Source organism: Homo sapiens, chromosome 8 (assembly GCF_000001405.40).
Source record: "Homo sapiens chromosome 8, GRCh38.p14 Primary Assembly".
Lineage (NCBI taxonomy): Eukaryota > Metazoa > Chordata > Mammalia > Primates > Hominidae > Homo > Homo sapiens.
The window spans coordinates 17,727,249-17,752,843 of NC_000008.11; the positions used below are offsets into that span (position 1 = coordinate 17,727,249).

At 42.5% G+C, this 25,595-nt stretch overlaps 1 protein-coding gene and 1 pseudogene across 9 annotated transcripts in view, besides 1 other annotated feature; one reads left to right on the forward strand and one right to left on the reverse strand.

Annotated features, from left to right (window-relative positions):
* MTUS1 (microtubule associated scaffold protein 1) overlaps positions 1-25,595 on the reverse strand; it is a 157,720-nt gene that overhangs the window by 83,447 nt on the left and 48,678 nt on the right. For all 9 annotated transcript variants that reach the window (NR_156437.2, NM_001363061.2, NM_001363060.2 and 6 more), the window contains one exon: positions 16,356-16,551. Coding sequence is in view for 8 of the 9 variants with exons in the window: in NM_001363061.2 (NP_001349990.1) it covers positions 16,356-16,551 (196 nt within the window). In the remaining variant the exon portion in view is untranslated. The remainder of the gene's footprint in view (positions 1-16,355; positions 16,552-25,595) is intronic.
* Positions 7,262-7,311: an enhancer, noted in NCBI's record as "active region_27047". NCBI's record gives its function as "activates an Ori minimal core promoter by ATAC-STARR-seq in GM12878 lymphoblastoid cells {active_cell/tissue: GM12878}" and the evidence as "EXISTENCE:reporter gene assay evidence [ECO:0000049][PMID:35858748]".
* Positions 20,870-20,982, forward strand: RNA5SP256 (RNA, 5S ribosomal pseudogene 256; annotated as a pseudogene).

Sequence of the window (25,595 nt, forward strand, 5' to 3'; positions counted from 1 at the left end):
TATTACTATCCCAGTTAATAGATGAGAAGACTACTTAGGTGGTTAAATGGCTTACTTGGGTCACATACCCGGCCAGTGACAGTAAGGCCTAGAATCCAAGTGTCTAACCACCTGCCCAGTGTTCCCTCGGCCATGCCACAGAATAGAAACATCTCAGTTAAAGAAAAGTATGAGGCTTGGAGGCAGACAGAGTTCAGAATGGAGCTCTTACTGGACAGGAGCTCCTACAGCGGAATGGTGAAAACCGTACGGATGCAACAAAGACATATAACTATTTCACCAACAGTCCCGACGTTTAGCTTAACGGTAAAGTTGGCAATACTAAAACATAGCAATATTAGGTTAATTGAGAGACTGCAAGTAACACAGGCGCTAAATTCTTAAACAGTGAAATCAATACAGGACTTCTCTGAGTTACAGTTCCGAAAAGGTGACATTTACCAGGTCATATCGTATTGTGTAACTTATCCCAGATGAGAAAGATAAAGATTTAAGATCTACTTGCAGGATATTATTGACCTCAGTGGTTTATTTTAAGCTCGTGCACTTAGCATAGACTTACGTATAGACAACAGATTGGTTTTTATTCTGTAATTATAACCATCTTTTATGTAGGGAAAATCTGGAAGGAATAACACCTCCACTTTGCCTTAGATAGTAACACAGTCTATTGGATTTGAAGCAAACCTTCACTAATCAACCAATTTACTAAAATACTCACCTCAGAAAACCTGAGTAAGTATACTATATTTAACAACAATAAAAATCAGTAAAAGACGCCTAGCAAAACTAAAATTTCAATGGAAAGATTAAGTGAACAACAGGATAGTGTTAATATTAATATTATCCTATTCTGTAAAACAAAATGGTAGAATGGCGCTTGCCAGGGGCTGGTGGGGAAGGGAAATGGGGAGTTGTTCAATGGGTAGAAAGTTCCAGTTATGCAAGATGAATACGTCCTACAGATGTGCTGCACAACTTGTGTTGTAGGAAGCTGGGATTACACCCACACAACACCACACCCGGCTAATTTTTTTGTATTTTTAGTAGAGATGGGGTTTCATCAGGCTGGTCTCAAACTCCTGACCTTAAGTGAGCCACTTGCCGTGGCCTCCCAAAGTGCTGGGATTACAGGTGTGAGCCACCGTGCCTGGCCAAAACAGATCATCTTAATAAAAATCTGGACAATAGATTCACATGAAGGTGTGTCTTACACAAGTATTTATGTGCTTACCTAGTAAGGCAAGTGCAAGTAATCACAAAGTTCAAACATATACAGAGCCAGAACCACCTGACATCCTGCCACAGAATTAGACGTTCTCAGTAAAAACTGTAAACTAAAGAAAACATCATGTCTCACCATAAGGTATGTTGTTCTGTAGTTTATACAGCTTAGTAGGAACACAGGTGGGAAGAAGAAAATAAGGCTGGAGAGGCAGGTAGTTTACAGTTGGGTGAGACATGGCATTGAATGCCAGACTCATAATTTTAGACCTTAAATGTTAGGGATGGATATGGTGGGAAGATGTGGGTTGGGGGGGTCGGGGAGGGTGAGGCTTTTTTAGCATTTACATCAGAACTTGATTGTGTGGTAGCAGTGTGCAGAACTGACTGAAGACTGAAATCAGGGAAAAAGATAGGAAGCTAGTGTACCAGCACCTGCCAGGGTTAGAGAAGTGAGAATTTTAACTAAAAAATGAAAAGATTATTGAGGTCCATTTGAAATATATCAGTATGGCACACAAGTGGCAAGGCCACTAACTACTAAGTAAGAAAGAGAAAATGCCAAACTAACAGACACAGTTAAAATACGAGACATGAGAATATGTATTTTTTTTCCAGTTAATTCAGAGAATATGTCTGTAGCTATAATTATATAACTTGGGTTCCTTAAATACAACTCAACTACTTAGAGACAGTTACCTTTAGAGTAATTACCTACAGTAACTAGGAATTATTATAAAATCAGGGGAAACTTAAAAGTGACAAACAAGTTAACAAGTTATAAGAGAAATAAATTATACATACTCAAAACCGTGGCTGCAGGTCCACTTCCAATTAAGCTTAAGGGACCAAATTCTCTCACCAACACTAAATATACATGTTTAAGAACTTAGCTTCAATGGTAGAGTATCACTGTATAAATATTAAATAAACCTGATGGGCTTCTTACCAAATAAGTATTATACAAAATCCATATATTTCCTATGTGCCAGGAAAAAACAGAAAAAGAAATCCCTTACTTTGGTAACAAAAAGGAATTGCACACATAGACACACACATATGCACTGTTTCTGTGAATAAATTTATCAAAAAAGTGCTATTCTATTGTGAAAATTATAAAAATGAGAAAAATAAAAGTTCTGAACAAGTGTACACATGTGAATTCTTCCATGAATTGATATCTTATTAAATGCTATTGCAATCTGAACCTACATGTGATTGCTTTTAAACGCAGGAATTGAATTTTTAAAACATGTTAAAGTAATCTAGAATAATTAAGAATAGCCAAAAAAAAATTTAGAACAGAAAAACATTAAGACTACAATTCAACAACGAAAATACCAAAAAACCCAATTTAAAAACTGGACAAAGGACTCGAATAGACATTTCTCCTAAGAAGACAACAAATAGCCCAGAGGCACATGCAAAGATGCTCAACATCACTAGTCACTAGGGAAATGCAAATCACAATCGCGCGAGATACCACTTTGTACCTAATGGGATGCTATCATCAAAAAAAAAAAAAAAAAAAGCAAAAACAAAAAATTAACAAGTGTTGGCAAGGACACGGAGAAACTGGAACCCTTGTGCAAGGCTAGCGGGAATGTAACATGGTGTAGCCACTGTGGAAATGGTATGGTGGTTCCTCCAAAAATTAAACCTGAAGTTACCATATAATCCAACAACTGCATGTCTAGGTACAGATCCAAAAGATGTGAAAGCAGGCCGGGGGTGGTGGCTCGTGCCTGTAATCCCAGCACTTTGGGAGGCCAAGGCAGGGGATCACCGGAGGCCAGGCCAGGAGTTTGAGACCAGTCTGGCGAATATGGTGAAACCCCATCTCTACTAAAAATACAAAAAACATTATCTGGGCATGGTGGCGGGCACCTGTAATTCCAGCTACTTGGGAGGGTGAGGTAGGAGAATCACTTGAGCCTGGAAGGTGGAGGTTACAGTGAGCTGAGATCATGCCACTATACTCTGGCCTGGGCAAGAGAGCAAGACTCTGTCTTTAAAAAAAAAAAAAAAAAAAAAGTGAAAGACTTGAGCAGGTATCTGTACAACCATCTTCACAGCAGCATTATTCACAATAGCCAAAATGTGGAAGCAACCCTACTGTTCACAGGCAGATGAACGAATAAACAAAAGGTGGTACAGATATACCACGGAATACTATTCTGCCTTAAAAAGGAAGTTGACACATGCTACAACATGGATGAACCTTGAGGACACGGTGCTAAGTGAAATAAGCCAGTTATAAATAATGTATGATTCTCTTTCATGATTACTAGAATAGTCAAATGCATATAGACAGAACATAGAGTGGTGAGTGCCAGGGGCTGAAAGAGACGGAGAACTGGGGGTTAGTAAAATGGATACAGGATTTCAGGGGGGAAAACAAAGTTCTGGAGATGGATATGGAGGATGGCTGCAAAAAATGTGAATGTACTTAATGCCACAGAGCTGTACATTTAAAAAATTGTTAAAATGGCACATTCTGTGCAATATATATTTTGCCACAATTTAAGTTAAAAACAAGGAACTTGTGCAACTAGTTGGAGTAAGATATTATAAAATAATAAAAGTCCTACTGGAATAAAACCATACTGACAGATTAATACGGTGGTATATACATCTCAGAGATATAAAAATTCAGGATAGGATAGGATAAGGGAGGTATCTTAAATCAGCAAAAACATACTTATTTGTGGTATTAAGATATTTGAATTGCCAAATTAAAATTTGAGAAGCAGAACGGTACAGTAGTTAATAGTTGACAATCTCGAGGTAGATCGTCTAGGTTCAAACCCGGCGCCACCTCACACTGCCTAGTGAGCAGGTTCCTCACCGTTCTGCACTTCTGTTTTCTCATATGTGAGAATGGGGGTGATAGGAGTACTCCTTACCTCATAGGTTCTTGTGAGAATTAAATGAATTTATAATTTTAAAATGCTTAGAACAGCATCTGGCACAAAGTACCATACAAATATTAGCTGTCAGCGCTCGCCATCCACCAAAATAAATTAAATTGGATTACAACGCAAAGGGCTTAAGATGAAACCATAAAAAAAATAATTAAACATAGGTCAGTCTTCTTGAGTAGGGACCGTCTTATTATGCATAAAAACACAGGAAAAGTTAAAGGAAACAATGTATTTGACAACATAAAAGTGAAAAAAAATTAAGAAATCACCATATGCAAAATAAAAAGACATAAAAACAACAGGCAAAGGAAATGAACAGCAGCAGATCAAAAAAAAATCCTATGCCCCCAAATATAAGTGAGCGAAAGCTCTTGATGAAACAATGAATACAAAGAGTTGATAACTTTTATTATTATTCTTTTATTTAACCTCACTGTGTCTAACACCTTTCCTGGTGAGCCAACTGTCATTCCTAATCCCCATCACCATTGCTTAACCCCATAGAAGAGTTTAAAAAGTCAAATACTTGCTTCCAACCTTTCATGCCAGTAGGGGCAAGAGCCAGATCTGGTCTGTACCCATCAGACATAAGGACAAGAGGGCGAAGGGGGAGCTGCTGCATGGGTGTCCCCATGAAAAACAAAGAGAGGAGGAGGTCCCTGCCCTGAGATGCCGTCCTTTGCTTCCAGCCTTTGAATGCAGTCACAGGAAGTGGTGGGATGCACACGGAACTCCTAGCAGCCATATTTTAACTGAAAAGCCAATGACAAAGCCACATGCTGATGTGAGATGAGTGGAGAGGCAGAAAGAGGACATTTATGAATCGTCAAACCTGGAACAGCCTGCCTCTAGCCCTCCCGAGGAATAAACACACACAGCCTCTGGTTTATGTCCACTGGTTGGGTTTTCTGTCGCCTGCTGTAAATTGTGTTCTTAACTGCGCCATTCTCCTGCCAACAGTATTGGATGCAATTGGTTCCTCCTTTCTTCTTGAAAGGCTTTCCTTACTTGGCTTCAGGGATGCCCCTACGTTCCTGGCTGTTCCTTCTTGACTCTGGAGAGTCCAGGGAGCACCCCAGAGCTATCCTTGACCTGTGCTCTCTACACTTACTGCCGTGGGGCTCTCATCCAGTCTGGTGGCTTTAAATATCCTCTATATGGTGCTGAATCCTAAATTTATATCTGTAGACCAGATTTCTCCCACGCACTTCAAACTTGCATATCCAGTTTTCTACTCCACATGGCCTCTTATCAATCATTTCTATGTAACTGAGTTTCAGATCTCCCCTTCCCAACATCTGTGTTTCCACCATCCATTCCCATCTCAGGTAAAGGCTGCACCATTCTTCCATTGCTCACACCAACATGGTCATGTTCATCCGTGACTCCTCCCTTTGCTCTCACCCCCAATCCAATCTAAGCAAACCTCACTGGCTTTACCTTCAAGCACATACCTAGAATCTGAGCGGGCCTCACTGCCACAACCTGGTCCGAGAAAACATAACCTCCTGCTGCCATCACAGCGACCCCCGCAAGCTGATCTCCCTGTTCCTACTTCACCCATATCCAATCTACTCCCAACACAACTCTCAGAGTGATCCCATTAACATTTAAGTCACTCCAGTTCAAACTCCAAGTCCTAACTATGATTTTCAAGACTATACATGATCCACGCTGGGCACGGTGCCTCACGCCCGTAATCCCAGCACTTTGGAAGGCCGAGGTGGGTGGATCACCTGAGGTCAGGAGCACAAGACCAGCCTGAACAACATGGTGAAACCCTGTCTCTACTAAGAATACAAAAACTAGCTGGGCGTGGTGGCAGGCACCTACAATCTCAGCTACTCGGTAGGCTGAGGCAGGAGAATCGCTTAAACCAGGGAGGTGGAGGTTGCAGTGAGCCAAGATCATGCCATTGCACTCCAGCCTGGGCGACACAGCAAGACTGTGCCTCAAAAAAATTAAAAAAAAAAAAACAGCAGACACTGTCTCCATTATATACATAAACATATGTGCATGAGAATATGCAAAAAGAAAAGGTACCAAATAGTCATAAATTTTTAAGTTAAAAGCTATTTGGTGGTGGTAAGATGACAGGTGTTTATTTTCTCACTTTTAATTTAAAATGCTATACCTTTAAAATAGCCTACTGGGAAGAGAGTAGTGTAAACTTGATAAACTATCCAATTTGCCTGGTTAAATTCAAGACACAAGAGGTAAAGAATAAAACAGGGCCCCGCATCCCTTTCTTGACATTGACAAGAGGCTCTAGGTCAGCCTCTTCTTTGTTGACTGCCAGAAAGCCAATCTGTTGTGTCCTAATCACCTGTTGGCCCTCCTCTGTATTTTCACACCATCATTACTGACTTTGACCTCAATCTCTACATTCTATATTCTGAGCCATAACTCCTCTTCTCATTCTACCTTCTAGTATCTCAGTCAAGTCCTGAAAAATAGCTCAATACATGTGCATCCTCCTTACTTCTCAGATCTCAGGGGGCAAAAGTTAAACAGCACAAAGCATCAACATTAAACCAAGCCTGGCCCCTACCTATTTAAGAGTGTAACTCTATTACATTATATAATCTCCTATATTACAGAAAGAAAACCATTAAGCGAACTTTGGTATTTGTAATTACACCCTCTTCCAAAATCCTACAGTTCTTTTTATTAAATTTTAGTATTATAAGAACAAATGTGATGAAACAAGAACTTGTCACCTCTTCTATTTGGCAGTTAATACCAAGAAGGCAAAAACTACATCTTACTCATCCCACAATCCCTCAGTGTCTGGTACATGACTTACCTAGCATACACGCTCTATCTGTTAAGTAAATACGTTGCAGAACACAGAATATTTCAGTAACACTCTAGATTTATATGTTGCAAATAGTGATTTTACTATTCCACCTTCTTGAGTTCATCAAGGCAATAGGACTCTGTATAACTATCCTCATTTGCTTAAATTCAAGGGTAAGCTCCCCAGACAAAGGCAGAGCAACACAGGTGAGTCATAACAAAAACACGGCAAGTCTTAAGACTGCAGTAATTTGACAAAGGAGCAAAAAGTCCCACAAAGGGAAGTTCTCACGATGACTCGAACTCCACAGAAGCGCAGCATTCTCGGTGATGCTGTCAGTACCTGCCTCTGCAAGTATGTTCACAAGATGTCTGTGGCTTCAGGTGGGGATTAAACAAAAATAACTGCCTTAGTCACAGGCCTGGAACATGTGTCCCACAACTACAGGAACATTTAAATTCAGAGGGGAATAAACCAAAGACTTAAAGGTGTTGCTTCATTTTCCCAGCTACCATACAAAGGAGATAAACAAGGGTCTTCACATGTTCACCAGCAAATTTATTTACCATCTGACACCTATGCTAATAATGCCTGATAAGAACAAAAGAAGGTGCACAGTGAGCCTCCTGGCTCATTAGGAGTCAAGGTTTATGAGCAGAGCTCCACTGAGCAATGAGGTGGTGAGATCATTGAGACCTCAAAACTTCACACCAACTTTTTTTTTTTTCTTTTCTTTTCAGAGGGTCTCGCTCTGTCACCCTGGCAGGAGCACAGTGGTGCAATCATAGCTCACTGTAGACTCAAATTTGGGCTCAAGAGATCCTCCTGTCTCAGGCTCCCGAGTAGCTAGTAGCTGAGACCACAGGCGGGAGCCACTGGGCCTGTCTCTTATATCTTTATGTCAGCTCTTTTCTGATGGTTTCCTTAGTCTCTACATATTTTTACTCTTAAACCTCAGGCATGCACATACCCCTCTGAGGTGCTTCCCAGTCTGTAGCCTCCTCCAATTTCACATGCCCCGAATTAAACTCACTATTCTCCTCCGGAAAACTTCTTGCTACTCTATTCCACATTTCACTTCATGGCCCACCACCTATCCAGCCTCTGAAGGCGGCGGTTGGGGAGACACTTAGGACTGTTCACACCAACAGAAGTGGCCAGACACTCTGTCTCCTAATTATTTTAAACATGCATTCTACTATCCGTTCCCAAAAAATATGTAGCACTCGTGCAAGTTTGTGTCTACATTATTAGAACTAATCAGCCTCTACCTCCCTCGAGGCAGAGGCTCATCTGTCATTGACCCCGGGACACGTCTGCTCCAGGCATGCTGACTCTGGCCTTGACGTTCCCCAAGCACATGGTATCCTTTGACAAGGCCACATCTGCACCCTCAGCAACCCCAGCAGCCTCCTCTGCTGGCAAGCTCCTGCAGGCGCATTCCAAACAGTTCAAATGTCACCGCCTCTCCTCCAGTTCTCCCTCACAACAAGTTAGTGTTGCTCCTTTACTGTGGATACACAGTGCTTCGCACAGGTCTCCATTCAAATCAAGCCAAGGAATGTTTTTAAACACCTGTTGTGCAACCAGTACACTGTGCTGGGCACTGGAAAATATGAAAATAACTAAGAGCTGAACTCTATCCTTATGGATTTCACCGTCTAGAAGGAGACAGACATGTAAGGAAATAATGAGCATACAGCACTATAAATGCAAAGCAGCAGAGAGGCCAGGACAGCTGAGGTGGAATCTGAAGAGCCAAGAGTTTTCATTGGAACGATTTGCTTAGACACCCCCTTATCCCCTCACCCTCCAACCAGTAAGCTCCTTAAGAGGGCATATTTGCTTAATCCTGTTTGTAGTCTCAGAATCTAGTACACTGCCCAACACAGAGCAGCGACTCTAAGCACTTCTTGAATGAATGGGCAAGCCTGCACTGTGACATATTAAGCCTACTCATGAGTCATTCCACAAAGCAATCTTCTCCATAATTACTGCCAAGTAAGAATTGTGTGAAACGCCTGGAAAAGATCAAGCATTTACAAGTGATGATGTCCGTGAGGATGAAAAGAGGACATGTGCCTCGCAGGCACCTGCATGGCCCTGCTTGGTTGGTCCTGACCTCCTCCGCCCATCCATGTCCTCCAGCCCCCACCACACACAGTGCGTGGTTCACTGTTCCTCACGCACCCTACACCCTGCCTCACCTCGGGGTCTCTGCACGGCTGGTCCCTGTGCCTGGAAAGTCCTCCCGCCTGACACCCAAATGCCTCCCTCCTCCCTTCCTTTCAGGTGTTTGCCCAAATGTCGCCCTCTCAGTGAGGCCTTTCTTGACCAACCGTTTAAAAATCTAATCTCCTTCACTGCTTTATTTTTATTTTATTTTATTTTTTGCTTGTTTTTTTTGAGATGGGGTCTTGCTCTCTCACCCAGGCTGGAGTGCAGTGGTGCGACCTCAGCTAGCTGCAACCTCCACCTCCCAGGTTCAAGAGATTCTCCTGCCTCAGCCTCCCAAGTAGCTGAGACCACAGGCACCGGCCACCAAACCCAGCTAATTTTTGTATGTTTAGTAGAGATGGGGTTTCACCATCTTGGCCAGGCTGGTCTCGAACTTCTGACCTCAAGTGATCCATCTGCCTTGGCCACCCAAAGTGCTGGGATTATAGGCGTGAGCCACCATGTTTGGCTCTTTCTCTTTTATTTTTGGATTCATCATCATGAATCCAAAAATGTATTTATTTTCTTAATCCCCTTATTAGAATTTAAGCTCCCTAATGGAAGGAACGGGTCTCTTCTGTGCACTTCATTCCAGCACTTAGAAGAGTTCTTAGCACAAACCAGCCTTCCCCACATTCTCCTTCACACATATGTGGTTTAATGAAGAATTCACATATGTCCATGAAAGAAGACAGGAGTGTGTCAAGACTTCTGCATGCACGTAAAGGACCAGGGTTAAGAGCACAGACTGTGGGGCCAGAACACCCGGCCCATTTCCCGTCTCCACCAATTACCCCACTGTGTAACTTTGGACACGTTACTGAAGCTTTCAGACCCTCAAATTCCTCATCTGTAGAATGGCGATTATCACAGTATCCCTACTAGGAGTTGTGGGAATTAAATGAGATTATGCATTTAAAAGAGGGCTTAGCACTGTGCTTGGCGCACACAGGCACTCAAAACATGTTAGTGACTAATACTATTTTTATGAAAAGAGATCCTGATACACACTTTAAGGAAACTAATTTAATTACATAAAAATATAGAAACATCTATTAGCGACACATTAAAATTAAATTTTATTCACATTTCAGAGACAGGGTCTTGCCCTGTCACCTAGCCTGAAGTGCAGTGGTACAATTATAGCTCACTGAACCCTCAACCACTTGGGTTCAGTGATCCTCCCACCTCAGCCTCCTGAGTAGCAAGGACCACAAGTGTGTGCCACTTGCCCAGCTAATTTTTTAATGTTTTGTAAAGACAGGGTCTCACTCTGTTGCCCAGGTGGGTCTCAATCTCTTGGGCTCAAGTAATCCTCCCACTTCATCCTCCCTAATTCCTGGGATCACAGATGTGAGCCACCATGTCCGGCCTCAACTTGGCTTTTAGAATAACTTATTGGGTAATAACCTCTGATTTTTAGTAATTACTTTATTCAAGTATGTGAAAAATCTCTCATAATTTTGCTTACTGTCTCCCTCAAATTCTCACCTAGAAAAGTTTAAAAGGATATAAAAGTAATTTGAAGAAGATTTGAAATTACCTTAACACGAAATGAATGAAAAAATAATCAGTTTACATAAACCACGAAGGAAATAACTTAGCAAGAAAGAAGAGAAACCTGCGATGACAGGCAAGTCACTGCAAGTTTCGGACGGACTACTGTCTTGAAAGGAATTTACTTTATTAACCCACAATAAACTCAACTGAAATAAAGAGTTGCCCTTTTGAAATGTGGTTTCTCTTTCTCTAGAAGAAAACCAAAAACCATCTCTTTCAGGAGGCCTTTCTTCACCGACCCACCCCTGGACATTCTTCTCATGGGGCCTTTTCCCCACCCATCACCATTCTTTGTGCCGCTTTGTGTTTGCTGCATAAACACGCACTCTCCCTCCTCAGCTCACAGGAGTCACGGGGCAGGGAGAGCATTCTGCGCTACTTCTGTAATCCTACCTGGCTCAGGCTGGCCTCTGAAATGGCAACTCATGTGTGTAGAGAAGAACACAGATATTTATCATCTAAAACCTGGGAAAAGCTGGTATTGCCTCCAAAAGAGAGTGAAGGCGGGTCTCTCTAAAGATGTCTGAATTGATCATGAAGGATTTACTCAGCAGTTATTTATTCAGCAGCATTAATTTTATTATTACTGTATTTTTTATTGTTTTAAGTTCCGGGGTACATGTGCAGGCTGTGCAGGTTTGTTACATAGGTAAACATGGGCCATGGTGGTTGACTTCACCTACCAAACCATCACCTAGGTATTAAGCCCGGCATGCATTAGCTATTTTTCCTGAAGCAGCATTAATTTTCAATAGCCACATAAAATCATTCACATCAGAGTTAACATCAAGCTTTAAACCAAGGCCTGAAAAGAAAAGTGCCACAGTTTCTAAACCATTCAGCTGGGCAACAAGAATTTTAATTTTTAAAAAAATTAAACGTTAGCCTGGTGTGGTGGTTCATGCCTGTCATCTCGGTACTGTGGGAGGCCTAGGTGGGAGGATCACTTAAGCCCAGGAGTTCAAGACCAGCCTGGGCAACAAAGTGAGACCCCCCCATCTCTACAAAAATATATAAAAATCAGCTGGGCATGCTGACACACATCTGTGATACCAGGTACATGGGACGCTGAGACAGGAGGATTTCTTGAGTCCAGGAATTCAAGGCTGCAGTGATCTATGGTGGAGTCAGTGCACTCCGGCCTGGACGACAGAGTGAAAATGTCTCAAAAAAACAAACAAACAGAAAACAAACAAACAAAAAAACAAATTAGACTTTATTATTAAAAATAAAACTCAGGCCAGGCGCGGTGGCTCACTCCTGTAATCCCAGCACTTTGGGAGGCCGAGGCGGGTGGATCACCTGAGGTCGGGAGTTGGAGACCAGCCTGACCAACATGGAGAAACCCTATCTCTATTAAAAATGCAAAATTAGCCAGGTGTGGTGGTTCATGCCTGTAATCCCAGCTACTCGGGAGGCTGAGGCAGGAGAATTGCTTGAACCAGGGAAGGGGAGGTTGTGGTGAGCCACGATTGCGTCAATTGCACTCCAGCCTGGGCAACAAGAGTGAAACTCCATCTCATAAATAAATAAATAAATAAATTAATAAATCAAACAAACAAAACTCATGGCCATACTAATAGTATTGAGATTAATAATGTGTTGGTTAACAGCATCACTGGCTGGTCTGAATCCCACCTCTGCCACTTTCCAGCTGTTTAACATTGGACAAATTATTTAACTTTTCTGTGGAAGATTCCTTGTCTATAAAATAGGGATAAGCCTCAAAGTTACTGTGAGGATTAAATGAATTTATAGATGAAATTACTAAAACTGAGCCTGGAACCCGACATATACTTAACAGTGTGAGCTGCTATCATTGACATTATAATAATTACTACTACAAATAATTTTCATCACTATCTCATCTTATTTCAGTATATTTCCAAAGAAGCAAAGGTAGTTTAGATTTGGTTTGTTATAATCTCTTATAATCTGGTCTCATATAATATATTTCCACATTTTGACAAGTAAAATGGAACAGCTCTTTGGGAGGCCAAGGTGGGTGGATCACCTGAGGTCAGAAGTTCGAGACCGGCCTGGCCAACATGGTGAAACCCTGTCTCTACTAAAAATACAAAAAATTAGTTGGGCGTGGTGGTGGGTGCCTGTAAATCCCAGCTACTCAGGAGGCTGAGGCAGCAGAATCGCTTGAACCCAGGAGGCGGAGGTTGCAGTGATCCGAGATTGCACCATTGCACTCCAGCCTGATCAACAGAGCGAGACTCCGTCTCAAAAAAAAAAAAGGAAAAGAAAAAGGAAAAAGAACAGCTGTGTTGGGTTTAATTACAATTCCTTCTCACATTCATTTTAAAGCTTCAAGAAAATGGCTGTTTCAATACTGGGTCTGGTTTTCTACTTAAGTGTTCTGAAAGGATTTATTGAAAACGCCAAATTGGCTGGAACATTTCTGCCGCTTACCTTTCAGCAGAGTAACTGTGAGTCAGTATGGTGGATATCCATTTGGTTTCAATTTGCTAATACACACAGACACTTCATTGTACAATCAATGGCAACAGGATCACGGGGATCTAAAAGCACATTGTTTCTGCTCCTTGATTTTTCTGTTCTACTTTTAACTCTGTGGCGATTAAGAAACACCTCTCAATTTACTGAGAGCATCCAAAAAAATTAGTTGCTATTAATTTTTCTGTAAAACATAATACAGTAGAATCAAATTAGTCTTCTTAGTCGGCTCAGGCTGCCATAATAGTAATAATACCAGATGGGGTGGCTTAAACAACAGAAATTTGTTTTCTCACAGTTCTGAAGGCTGGAATGTCCAAGATAGAGGTGCCAGCTGATCTGCTTCCCAGCAAGGGCCCTCTTCCTGGCATCCAGATGGCCACATTCTCATTCTACCTCACATACTGAGGACAGTTCCAGTGTCTCTTCCTCTTTTCTTTTTTGAAAGAGAGTTTCGCTCTTGCTACCCAGGCTGGGGTGCAATGGTGCTATCTCGGCTCACTGCAACCTCCGCCTCCTGGGATCAAGGAATTCTCCTGCCTCACCCTCCCCAATAGCTGGGATTACAGTCACCTGCCACCACCCTTGGCTAATTTTTTTTTTGTATTTTTAGTAGAGAAGGGGTTTCCCCACATTCCCACATTGGCCAGGCTGGTCTCAAACTCCTGACCTCAGGTGATCCACCTGCCTCAGCCTCCCAAAGTGCTGGGATTACAAGCGTGAGCCACCATGCCAAGCCCATCTCTTCATCTTTTTCTAAGGGCACCACCCCTACTGGATTAGGATCCCACTCTTATGACCCCGTTTAACCTTCATCACCTCCTCACCAGCCCTGTCTCCAAACACAATCACATTGCAGGTTGGGGCTTCAACATATTAATGTAGAGGGACCCAAGTATTCAGACCATAAAAGTCTTCTAACCAGTCAAATACAAAACTCAAATTCAAATCCAGAATGTTTCCAGTTACATTAACTTTGTTTCCATTCAGATACAGAAAACCACCCAGTAAAACGTAATTAGTTTTTAACTCAGACTGAAAAATCTGGATGCATAACTCAGTTATCAAGCTCATCGACACAGGATGATAAAAGCTCAAAAGCATGCCCTGTCTTTTCACTAAGACTAAACAGATCCACTTTTCTCTAAGACACATTATGCAACACAGAGTAAAAGGACTTAACAACTACTTCCCCGCTGGGTGGGACTGATCGCCTACATAAAAGGATTCTATCTTTTTCAATGTATCCTGGGTACTGGCCTCATTTCTTAAAAGTATGTGCGCTTAGATTTTCTGGGATTCAAGCCCCACGAAATTCAGAGAATCATACCAGTAACAGCAGTTACTCAGAAAATTAGGTGAGCTCCAAATTGTCCCTAGAAAGGTAAGGGCTGTAAAAGCTGACAGGGTCTTAGATTCTCAGACACTTACACTTTCAAGATGTGAAGATGAAGCCCAGGGAGAGTAAAAGACTTGCTCAGGCAGCGTATTGGGGCCAGAGTGGAACTAAAACACAGGGCTCCTAACTGCAGGCCAGGGGCCACACTCCAGTGCCACCAAGCTACAGGTGTTCCTCACAGAGGAGGAAGGGAGCTTCCCATTCTCTGCAAGCACCATGAGCCTTATTGGACAACTACAGTAAGGACCAGAGCTTTTTCTTCACCACCAAGGGACAGGGTTTTGCTCTGCTGCCCAGGTTGGAGTACAGTGGCATGATCATAGCTCACTGCAGCTTTGAACTTCTGGGCTCAAGTGATCTTCCTGCCTCAGCCTCCTGAATAGCTGAGGAGCCCCTACAAGGGCACACCATCATGCTCTCATGCCCAGCTGTTTTTTTTTTTTGTTGTTGTTGTTTTTTTTTTTTTTTTTTTTAGAGATAGTGTCTTGCTATGTTGCCCAGGCTGGTCCTGAACTCCTGGCCCACTTTGGCTTCCTAAAGCACTGGGATTTCAGGCATAAACCACCACACCCAGCCAGGACTAGAGCTTTCATCTCACTCATGCCTTGACTCCCCAGGTGTGGCAATATCCCAAATAAGAATCACTCTTTCTCCCAATGGCTTTTGGCCTCTGTTTTTCTCCCAGATGATGAACACTCCAAGCTAATGAATTCCTGTTTCCACCCAGATCCTCTGGGGATGGAGCCATGTGCTGCAAACCCCTCTTCCTCCACTCACGCCTCTGTGGTCATGTCTCCTTGACCTTGACACTAGGCCTGAATCTAAATAAACAGCCCGTAAAACATTTCTAAGCATTACAGGCTTTCACACTTGAGGCTTCATGGTAGGGTTGAAAAATGAAACCTACAAATACTAAATTGTAGAGAGGTACAGAGATCTTCTGGGATTTGCTCGCTTTCATTAGTTTCCATAAAACATTCTCACGTGTGTGGACACATAACTATTTGTATAAGGGAACTTACTACTAAATTGATTTGACATGACTTTAATTTGCCCAAGGCTGTACCGGCAGAAGTAAGGTGGGTTCTTTGCAAGATGTTCTCAGTCAATTGGAATGGCTAGCAGGCTTTTCATCCCCGTGACACAGGGATGACTTTTCCATTTCTTTGTAACACAGATCTGTACGTCCGCCAAATTTAGTATGATACTTAATAGCTATTCTTGAGGCGCTCACATTTCATTGGCCTAACATGACTTTAAAATTACAAATTGTAAGATACAAGCCAACATAAATAAAAGTTCACATTAGAAAAATTTAACTTTTTAGTCACCCTCATATCCCTCCTAAATCTATCATACATCTTTCAGTAAAATTAAAAAAAAAATTAATCTCTTCACATGTATTGAGGGCACACTAGGGACCTACCGTACAACACTTCAGCATTGTTAAGCACTTAACCATTTGAAAAAACTTAATGAAATGATTCAAATTTACATCAGCCACCCAATTGTATATTTATGTACACATCCTTCTGAATAGCTTATAAGATGGTTTATACACCTATACCTCTCTCCTCAACTAGCCTTTGCCTTGCTCAAAGATAAGGGATATATGTTGTCATCTTCTTTTTCTACCTCCTGTGCTCAGGATGCTGATCCACAAAAGGCTAACTGCTTTAGTGACAGAAGGCATTAGACCTATAATCATGACTGTCCAATTTTACATTCAATTAACTCATAAACTATTGAACTATTTTATTCTTACCAGAACTGGACACACGCCTGATCCTCTGAGGAGATACGGCTCGATCAGCACTGGGATTTCTATTGTCACTGTTCCGCCTCAAACAGGAAACAGGGGGCCCCACTTTGGCTTTTGGAGCAGCTATTTGCCTCAAACCGCAGGAGTCAGGCTTGGATATATTCCTACCTGAGGTGGTCGTTGTTTTTGAAGCAGAGCCCTGTGAAAATAACAGTTAAGACTGTAAACCAAAACTAAAATTCTAAGCCCCCCAACTGACTGAATGGGCCCCTCCTCTAGGCCAAGGCAATTCCAAAGAAACCTAAAAAACAAGTTCAGGCCATGATGGCAAAGAGGTCAGACATGCCTCATTATACTCTCCTCCCTTTAGAATTCAGGCACAACTGACCAGAATTAACATTAAAACAGAAACCTTAAGTCAGACAAAACAGACTCTTTATAGCAAAAAGACACTAAATTCCAACCTGACTCTAGTTTAGCATCACATGACAGACAGCAAGCCCTGAAGGAAATTGAAGTATTTTACCCCAAAATATTTTTCTTTAACACATTTTGAAATGGCCCTGCAAAGCTGTCTCTTGTAGGGGCAAATTTACATTCTGTAGAGAATCTTCTTCCCTTCCCAGATCTTTGGTCCCAAAGAAATTAGCTGAGAGTCTAGCACCTTTTAAAAGTCTAAATAGGTAATATTTGCCATCTATTACCTCTAAAGGCGGCCACGTATGAGATTTCATCTACATAATAAGAACCTTGGTCTCCACAGCCCCTTATCTTATCTTAACCGAGACACTCCTTTCTATTGATTTCAGGTCTTTAGATAATAACTTCTTTAGTTTTTTGACACGGAGTCTCCTCTATCGCCCAGGCTGGAGTGTAGTGGCATGATCCCAGCTCAGTGCAACCTCTGCCTCCCGGGTTCAAGTGATTCTCCTGCCTCAGCCTCCTGAGTAGCTGGGATTACGGGTGCACACCACCATCAATCTTTTTACTTTTAGTAGAGATGGCTAATTTTTATATTTTTGTAGCTAAGTTTTGTATTTTTTTTTTGGCATTTTATTTTTAGTGGAGATGGGGTTTCACCATGTTTTCTTTTTTTTTTTTTTTTTTTTGATTTTTTGTATTTTTAGTAGAGATGAGGTTTCGCCATGTTGGTCAGGCTGGTCTCAAACTCCACACTTCGTGATCTGCCGCCTCGGCCTCCCAAAGGGCTGGGATTACAGGCGTGAGCCAATAACTTAATTCTTTCAACGAACTGCCAAGCAGTAAATCTTTGAATCCACCTATGATCTGTAAGTCCCTACTTCAAGATGTCTCATCTTCCCAGACCAAACTAACGTGTATCTCAAATGTATTGACTGATGTCCTCTGTCTCCCTAAAATGGATGAAATCAAGCTGTAACCCAAACACCTAGGCACATGTTCTGAGGACCTCTTGAGGATGTGTCATCAGCCATGGTCCTCATATTTGGGTCAGAATAAGTCTCTTCAAATGATTTAGAGTTTGGCTTTTTTCATTAACAAAATTTTAATCCAGATCATACCTTCCCCATACCACTTCCTTGTGGTATTAGCTACGTGAAAGGAACAATTTCTAAGTGAACGTGTACAGTTGTCCCTCGGTATCAAAAATGATTAGTTCCAGGACCCTGGCAGATATCAAAATCCATGGACACTCAAATCTCTTATATGAAATGGTGTAGGGTTTGCATATAACCTATGTACATCCTCCCATATACTGTAAATCATCTCCACGATCATTACTTACAACATCTACCTATTACTTGTTTCAGGTGGATTCAACATAGTATTCAGCATGTAGTAAGTTCAAGTTTTGCTTTTTGAAACACTGCAGATTTTTTTTCTGAATATTTTCAGTCCAAGTTTGGCTCAATCCACAGATGTGGAGCCCATAGATACAGAGGGCTGACTGTATTCAATTTTCATTTTTACTATGAAACAATTAAAACTCTTCACAGCTTACTCTTTAATTCACCATATTCTGCCTTTGTACCCATTAGTGAGAGTGTACTCAAGATCACCAGTGTCACAAGTTAAATTCAAGCTAGTTTTCAATCCTTCCCCTGGGGGCTCTCTCTACACATCGAACGTTAATAACTCCATTCTCTGGTTTCCTGACAAAGCTCTTTCCTGGTTTTCCTTCTACCTGTCCGGTTATTCCTTTTCTGGGTCCTATTCTTCTGTACCTTTGGAAGCTAGTGATATAATTTGGATCTGTGTCCCCACCCAAATCTCACATCGAATTGTAATCCCCAGTGCTGGAGGAGGGACCTGGTGGGAGGTAACTGGATCATAGAAGCAGACTTCCCCCTTGCTGTTCTTATGACAGTGAGTTCTTACAAGATCTGGTTGTTTAAAAGGGTGTGTCACCTGCCCCCTCACTCTCTTCCTCCTCCTCCAGTCATACAAGACATTGCAGCCTTGCTTCCTGTACAGCCTGTGGAACTGTGAGTCAATTAAACCTCTTTTCTTTATAAATTACCCAGTCTCAGGTAGTTCTTTATATAGCAATGTGAGAACAGACTGATACAGCTAGTCTTCATGAAGACCTAGCCTTGGCCCTGTTCTCTTTCCTCACCATGTACTCTTCCTACATGATCTTGGCTGCTGTTTCAATTGCCACGTGTACACTGGTACATCCAAATCCACATGTTCAACCAGTACTCTCTCCTGAGTTTCCCATATACCTAACTTCTTTCTATACATCCCAACTCAGCATCCTTCAAGCACCTCTACGTATTAGTCCATTTTCACAACGCTGATAAAGTCACACCTGAGACTGGGTAATTTATAAAGAAAAAGCAGTTTAATGGGCTCAGAGTTCCACGTGGCTAGGGAGGCTTCACAATCATGGCAGAAGGTGAAAGGTTCATCTTACAAGGCAGCAGACAAGAGAGAATAAAAGCCAAGGGAAAGCAGTTTCCCCTTATAAAACCATCAGATCTCATGAGACTTACTCACTACCACAAGAACAGTATGGGGGAAACCACCCCCATGATGCAATTATCTCCCACCAGGTCCCTCCCACAATATGTGGGAATTACAGGAGCTACAATTCAAGATGAGATTTGGGTGGGGACACAGCCAAACCATATGACTCTACTTAACTTACTAACATATAGCCCGTATAGAATACTATTCTAAATTCTAAGTATATGTATCAATTCACTTAACCCTCATAATAATCCTGTGAAGTTGGTAGGTTTATTGTACCCCATTTTAAAGAACAAGAACATGAAGCATTTTCTAAAATTAATCTTACTTTCCTATCTATCTCAAAACTTATCTCTTCCTGTATTCACCACAACATACCCAGGCACCCAACTTCAACAATGAAAGCTGTTTCTCTTTTCCATCTGCTGTCATTTCTCAGCAAGATTACTGAAACGATGTCCACAGGATCTTTCTGGTCTCTCCAGCTTTCAATTCATCTTTTATCTGCCTGCTAGGGCAATCTCTCTCAAACTCGAATAGGGTTAGACACCTTCTGTCTGTCTTCCAGATAACATCTTCTTCACAAGGCCCAGCAATCCTTTTGCATATGGAAGCCCCTGCCATCCTCTTCACCTTATTCCCTACTGCTCAGGGTTCCATTCTCCCAGCTCCCACCACACCTACCTAGAGTCCCCTAAATTAGAAAATCTTCTCATATTTCTTCAGCTTTGTACTCTACCCAGAATACCTGCCCTTCAAATTCCAGCTAGTGACAACATGTGATGTCCCCTATAAGCCTTCCTTGACAACTCTGCCCACCACCACATCTTGTTCCCCCTCCTGCAGCACAGCAGTCTACTCACACTCCCAACTTAGCAATCAACATACCCTTGCCTGTTTACTGTATTGATAGAGGCAGGAGGCAGAGAAATTCTAGGCAGACGGGGGCAGGTCCCCAGCAAAACCCCACCTTCAAGGCAAAAACCCTGAAACCCACAGCCTAAAGTGAGAACTTCTAAACCTGTTTGCCCACTCTCTCCTAATTAGTTCTTTCTGAATAATGTCTTTTTACCAATTGAAAGTTGCCTTTTCCAAAACTACCTATGGCCTGCCTTGCCCCCCACATCCCATTCATGTAAAGACCCCAGACTCACTTGGTAGGGGAGACAAGCGGCTTGACTGATGTATTAGTCCATTTTTACGCTGCTTATAAAGACGTACATGAGACTGGGCAACTTACAAAAGAAAGAGGTTTAATTGGACTTAAGAGTTCCACGTGGCTGGGGAAGCCTCACAATCATGGCAGAGGGCAAGGAGGAGCAAGACATGTCTTACATGGATGGCAGCAGGCAAAGAGAGCTCATGCAAGAAAACTCTCCCTTATAATAACCATCAGATCTTGTGAGACTTAATCACTATTATGAGAACAGCATGGCAAAGACCTGCCCCCCCATTATTCAATTCCCTCCCACTGGGTCCTTCCCACAACATGTGGGAACTCAATACAAGATTTGGGTGGGGACACAGCCAAATCATATCAACTGGAGACTTCAGAGGACAGCTGAGTCTACTGTCATATCACCCTGAACACACCCAATCTCGCCTGATCTTTGAAGCTAAGCAGGGTCAGGCCTGGTTAGTACTTGGATGGCAGACAGACAGCTGGACTTTGGAGGAGAGATGGCTTAGCTTTGGAGAAGAGCCAAGTGTAGATGGCCAGACTTTAGGGAAGATTATCTGCCCGTCCTGTCCCGTCTTCAGCTACCCTCTCTGCTGAGAGCCACTTTCATTGCTAAATAAAATTATCTGCCTCCACCATCCTTCAGGTGTCCATGTGACCCAATTCTTCTTGGACAGTGGACAAGAGCTTGGGACCCACCAACTTTGGGTACCCAAAAAAGGTTATCACACTGACCCTTTGCCCTCGCTACTGGAGGGCAGCTGCCCCACACAGTGAGGCAAAGGGCCCACTGAGCTGATGACACACCGGTGTCCATGGATGGTGGAGCCAAGAGAGCACTGTAGCATGCCCTCTGGGGCTTTAGGGTCACAGACACCACCACCTGGGCACCACTGTGGGGCCTGCACACAGCATGCTCCTGCCGGTGCTCAAAGTGGCTGGCTGGATCCTGTACTCACTTGCCCACACACTCCTGCCCGCAAGAGGTTGAGCATGGCGGGCTGAATGGGGCACCCCCATCGCAAGTTTTACAAATGGGTTGAGAAAAACTCCTGCAACAGTATTACCCACTGCACTAGGCACTCAGACAGGGTCTCTTTTTTCCCTACATCCTAACAATCATCACCATATGTATAATACATAGTATGCACCCAATAAATGTTTCTATTCTACATAGAGGAAATGGGAGTCTGAGCCTTACTCACAGTGTGAATTCCAACACCAAACTACAATTTGCAATTCTCCCTTTACATTAATGTAAAGCAAAAATAAAATTCTAAGCCCCCCAACCATCTGAAGGGACCACTTCTCTCGGCCAAGGGCATTCCAAGGTTAACCTGAAAAACTAGTTCAGGATATGAAAGGAAGGGGGAGTCAGACATAATTATACTCTCCGAAGGGTTGGAATTCAGGCACAGCTGACCAGCATTAACATCAACAAAGACCTTAAGACTGATAGAACAGACTCTTTTAAGTCTGATAAGCAACATTTACAATCAACTCCCCCTGAAGCCGGCTACCTGAAGGTTTCATCTGTATGATAAAACCTTGGTTTCCACAGCTCCTTATCTTAACCCAGACATTCCTTTTTGTTGATTCCAGGTCTTTAACTCTTTGAACCAACTGCCAATTAGAAAATCTTTAGGCTGGGGGTGGTGGCTCAAACCTGTAATCCCAGCACTTTGAGAAGCCGAGGTGGGCAGATCACATGAGGCCAGGAGTTCGAGACCGGCCTGGCCAACATGAGGAAAGCCAGTCTCTACTAAAAATACAAAAAAATTAGCTGGGTGTGGTGGTCCTCACCTGTAATCCCAGCTACTCAAAAGGCTGAGGCAAGAGAATCACTTGAACCCGGGAGGCAGAGGCTGCAGTGAGCCGAGAGATCACACCACTGCACCCCCAGCCTGGGCAACAGAGAATCTGTCTCAAAAAAAAAAAAAAAAAAAGAAAGAAAAAGAAAGAAAATCTTTAAATCTGCCTGTGACCTGGAAGCTGCCTCCACTTCCAGTTGTCTCTCCTTTCTAGACAGAACCACTGTATACCTTACATGTACTGATTGACGTCTTATGTCTCCCTAAAATGTGTAAAAGCAAGCTGTACCTCGATCACCTTAGGCCCATCTTCTCAGGATCTCCTAAGGGCTGTGTCATGGGCCACTGGTCACTCATGTTTGGCTCAGAATAAATCTCTTCAAATATATTACAGAGTTTGACCCTTTTTTTGACACAAAGAACAACTGAGCTCAATAGAGACTTAGTAACCTGCCAGAGGTCACTTTGCCCAGTAAATGGTGGAGCTACAATTTGAAACTACTCTAAAATCCGTGCTTGTAAAGCAGCATGTTCCCTGTCATCACTCTTCTTTCTTTAATAAATCTCAAGTGTTAATTTCCGATAGATACACATAAAGCCCAATGCCGATGGCAGTCGAATTCATACATTAGGTGAATTCAACAATAACTTAGCAGGCCAATCACCCATGAGAACAGCTGGAGGTCATGTTTTGGCACTGGAGAACAATACAGAATTGGCCAAGAAAAGCAAGTGACTGTACACAAACTAACAAAGATCTTCTGTCTCTGGCTAGGTTAAATTAAAGCTGGCTAAATTCATCTCCCAGAGAAAAATCTTCTTTTAAAAAGCAACCCAAAAGTTAACCTCCCAGAGAAAACCTTCTTTTAAAAAGTAAGGCAAACTGCTCATCAATTTACAAAAGTGAATCTTCAGCAAATCACTTGTTTTGCCTTTCAGAGCCAACATTCCAAAAATTTTGAAACCGTATGGTGTATGGAGCAGAAAAGGCCAGGATTCAAGTGAGGGCTCTGAGTGTGAATCCCAATTTTACTATTTACCAGCTGTGTGAGTTTTAAGTGACCTCGCTGAAGTATTAAAATGTCGACAACAATTGCCCTGTTGTTATTGGGAAGAGTAAATAACAATGTATGGAAAGCACCTGAGCGTTACAGGGCCCATTAAATGGCATAATATAACTAAGGCACCTGAGCAAAGTGCCTGACCCAGAGCAAGCACTGAATAAATATCAATTCCTTTCCTTTTAGGTTAAGTCTCCACTCCCTTTATCTCACACACTATCATGAACACATAACCTCTGTTGTGAGGAGCTACATCTAGCCCCGTTTCAAATAAAAATCAAGTTCCTTCTTCCAAATAAGAACTTTTCTAAAGATTCAGATACACCCTGACCACCAATGAGCTGTGAGGTTGCAGGCAGTCTAGGGATTCAGTAAACTCAAGGCCTAAGGCAGGCCAAGGCCAACAAAGCAACAGTAAAAATTAACATCCGACCGGGCGCGATGGCTCACGCCTGTAATCCCAGCACTTTGGGAGGCCAATGTGGGCGGATCACTTGAGGTCAGGAGTTCGAGACCAGCCTGGCCAACGTGGTGAAACCCCATCTCTAATAAAAATACAAAAAATTAGCCAGGCATGTGCACCTGTAGTCCCAGCTACTTGGGAGAAATGCGTGAACCTGGGAGGCAGAGGTTGCAGTGAGCCGAGATCGCGCCACTGCACTCCATCCTGGGTGAGAGAGGAGACTCCATCTCAAAGAAAAAGAAAATTAACATCCCTCCAGCATGGTCTCTTCGTCAATCCAGGGCAGTAAGAGCCTTTGAGTGCTGCTGAAGTGACCAACCGACATTCATGTTTCAGGAAAACACGCAGCAAATTCATTCAGCTCTCTACAGTAAGTGCAAAGCCAGTGGCCTATGAGGGTCTGCCCAGACACTTTCCAGTCCTCCTTCCCAGAGACATGGAAATGTGCAAGAGGTAAACTAGCAAAATTAGAGAGCACTGTGCTTCAGACATGATCGTGAAAAAAGAGTAGGCCGGGGGCAGTGGCTCACGCCTGTATTCCCAGCACTTTGGGAGGCCGAGGCAGGTGGATCATGAGGTCAAGAGATCAAGACCATCCTGGACAATATGGTGAAACCTCGTCTCTACTAAAAATACAAAAATTAGCTGGATGTGGTGGTGCACGCCTGTAGTCCCAGCTACCTGGGAGGCTGAGGCAGGAGAATTGCTTGAACCTGGGAGGCGGAGGTTGCAGTGAGCCGAGATCTTGCCACTGCACTCCAGCCTGGCGAAAGAGCAAGAACAAGACTCTGCCTTAAAAAAAAAAAAAAAAAAAAAAAAGAAAGCAAAAAAGAAAAAAGAGTCCCTTATGCCAGTTGATAAGCATATGCGAATATGGGACAATCTTTCAAGACTTACAAAGTATTTCATATCTAATTATGAATCCTAACAGCCAGATTCCTGAGGCGAAAAGTGCTGTTTCTCCAAGACATACTAGGATCCATTTCAACCTGATGATTCTATCCTTACCTCAGTACCACATCGGGAGCCTGAAAAACAGGTTTTCAAGCTGCACAGGGGCAACATAACCCTAAGACTCAATGCACAAATCAGGAAAACTTTTAGTTTCAAAATTACACAACCAATTTAAATTCAAGACAAATGTCATTAAAGAAAAAGAAACTTTATGATAGAGTTTTTGGTAGCTGGGGACTGACACACCAAAAAAAGTCTCCCATAAATCAAGAGAATAAACATCGTGTTTCTATGTATATCTGTAAATGCCAAACTAAGAATGTTGATTAGAATTAAGAGTATGTTGTAATTTAATTTTGCAAAAAAATTAAAATTATAAATGATATCGGTTTTCTAAGTTTGACTTCAAGATAACTTAAAAACTAAATCTGAGTTTTGAAACAACGGATGAACTCATTAGTTTAGAAATCACTGTGGTGTACCCTTCTTCCAAATAGAGAAGACTGGTTGTTAAAGCCCAAACATGTCTAAACTGATGTTTTAGAGAATCTAGAATATCTTCGGTCTTTCCTAACCTTGTCTTCTAAACGGACCTGACAATTCCCTCCCTTGTGGTCCCCATGCACCCTGAAGACACACCTAAGTCAGCCCTTCTGCACTTGCTATTCTATGTGCTTCATTCCTCTTGCCACGAGCCCTCCAAGGGACAGGCTGTCTGTGTCACACCTGCCTTTCTCCGCTGGCACTTAGCTCCCTTCCTGGCCCAGAGGACAGGCACCCAAGGACAGCCTGTCTGGGGCTGAAAATACACCTAAGTCCCCA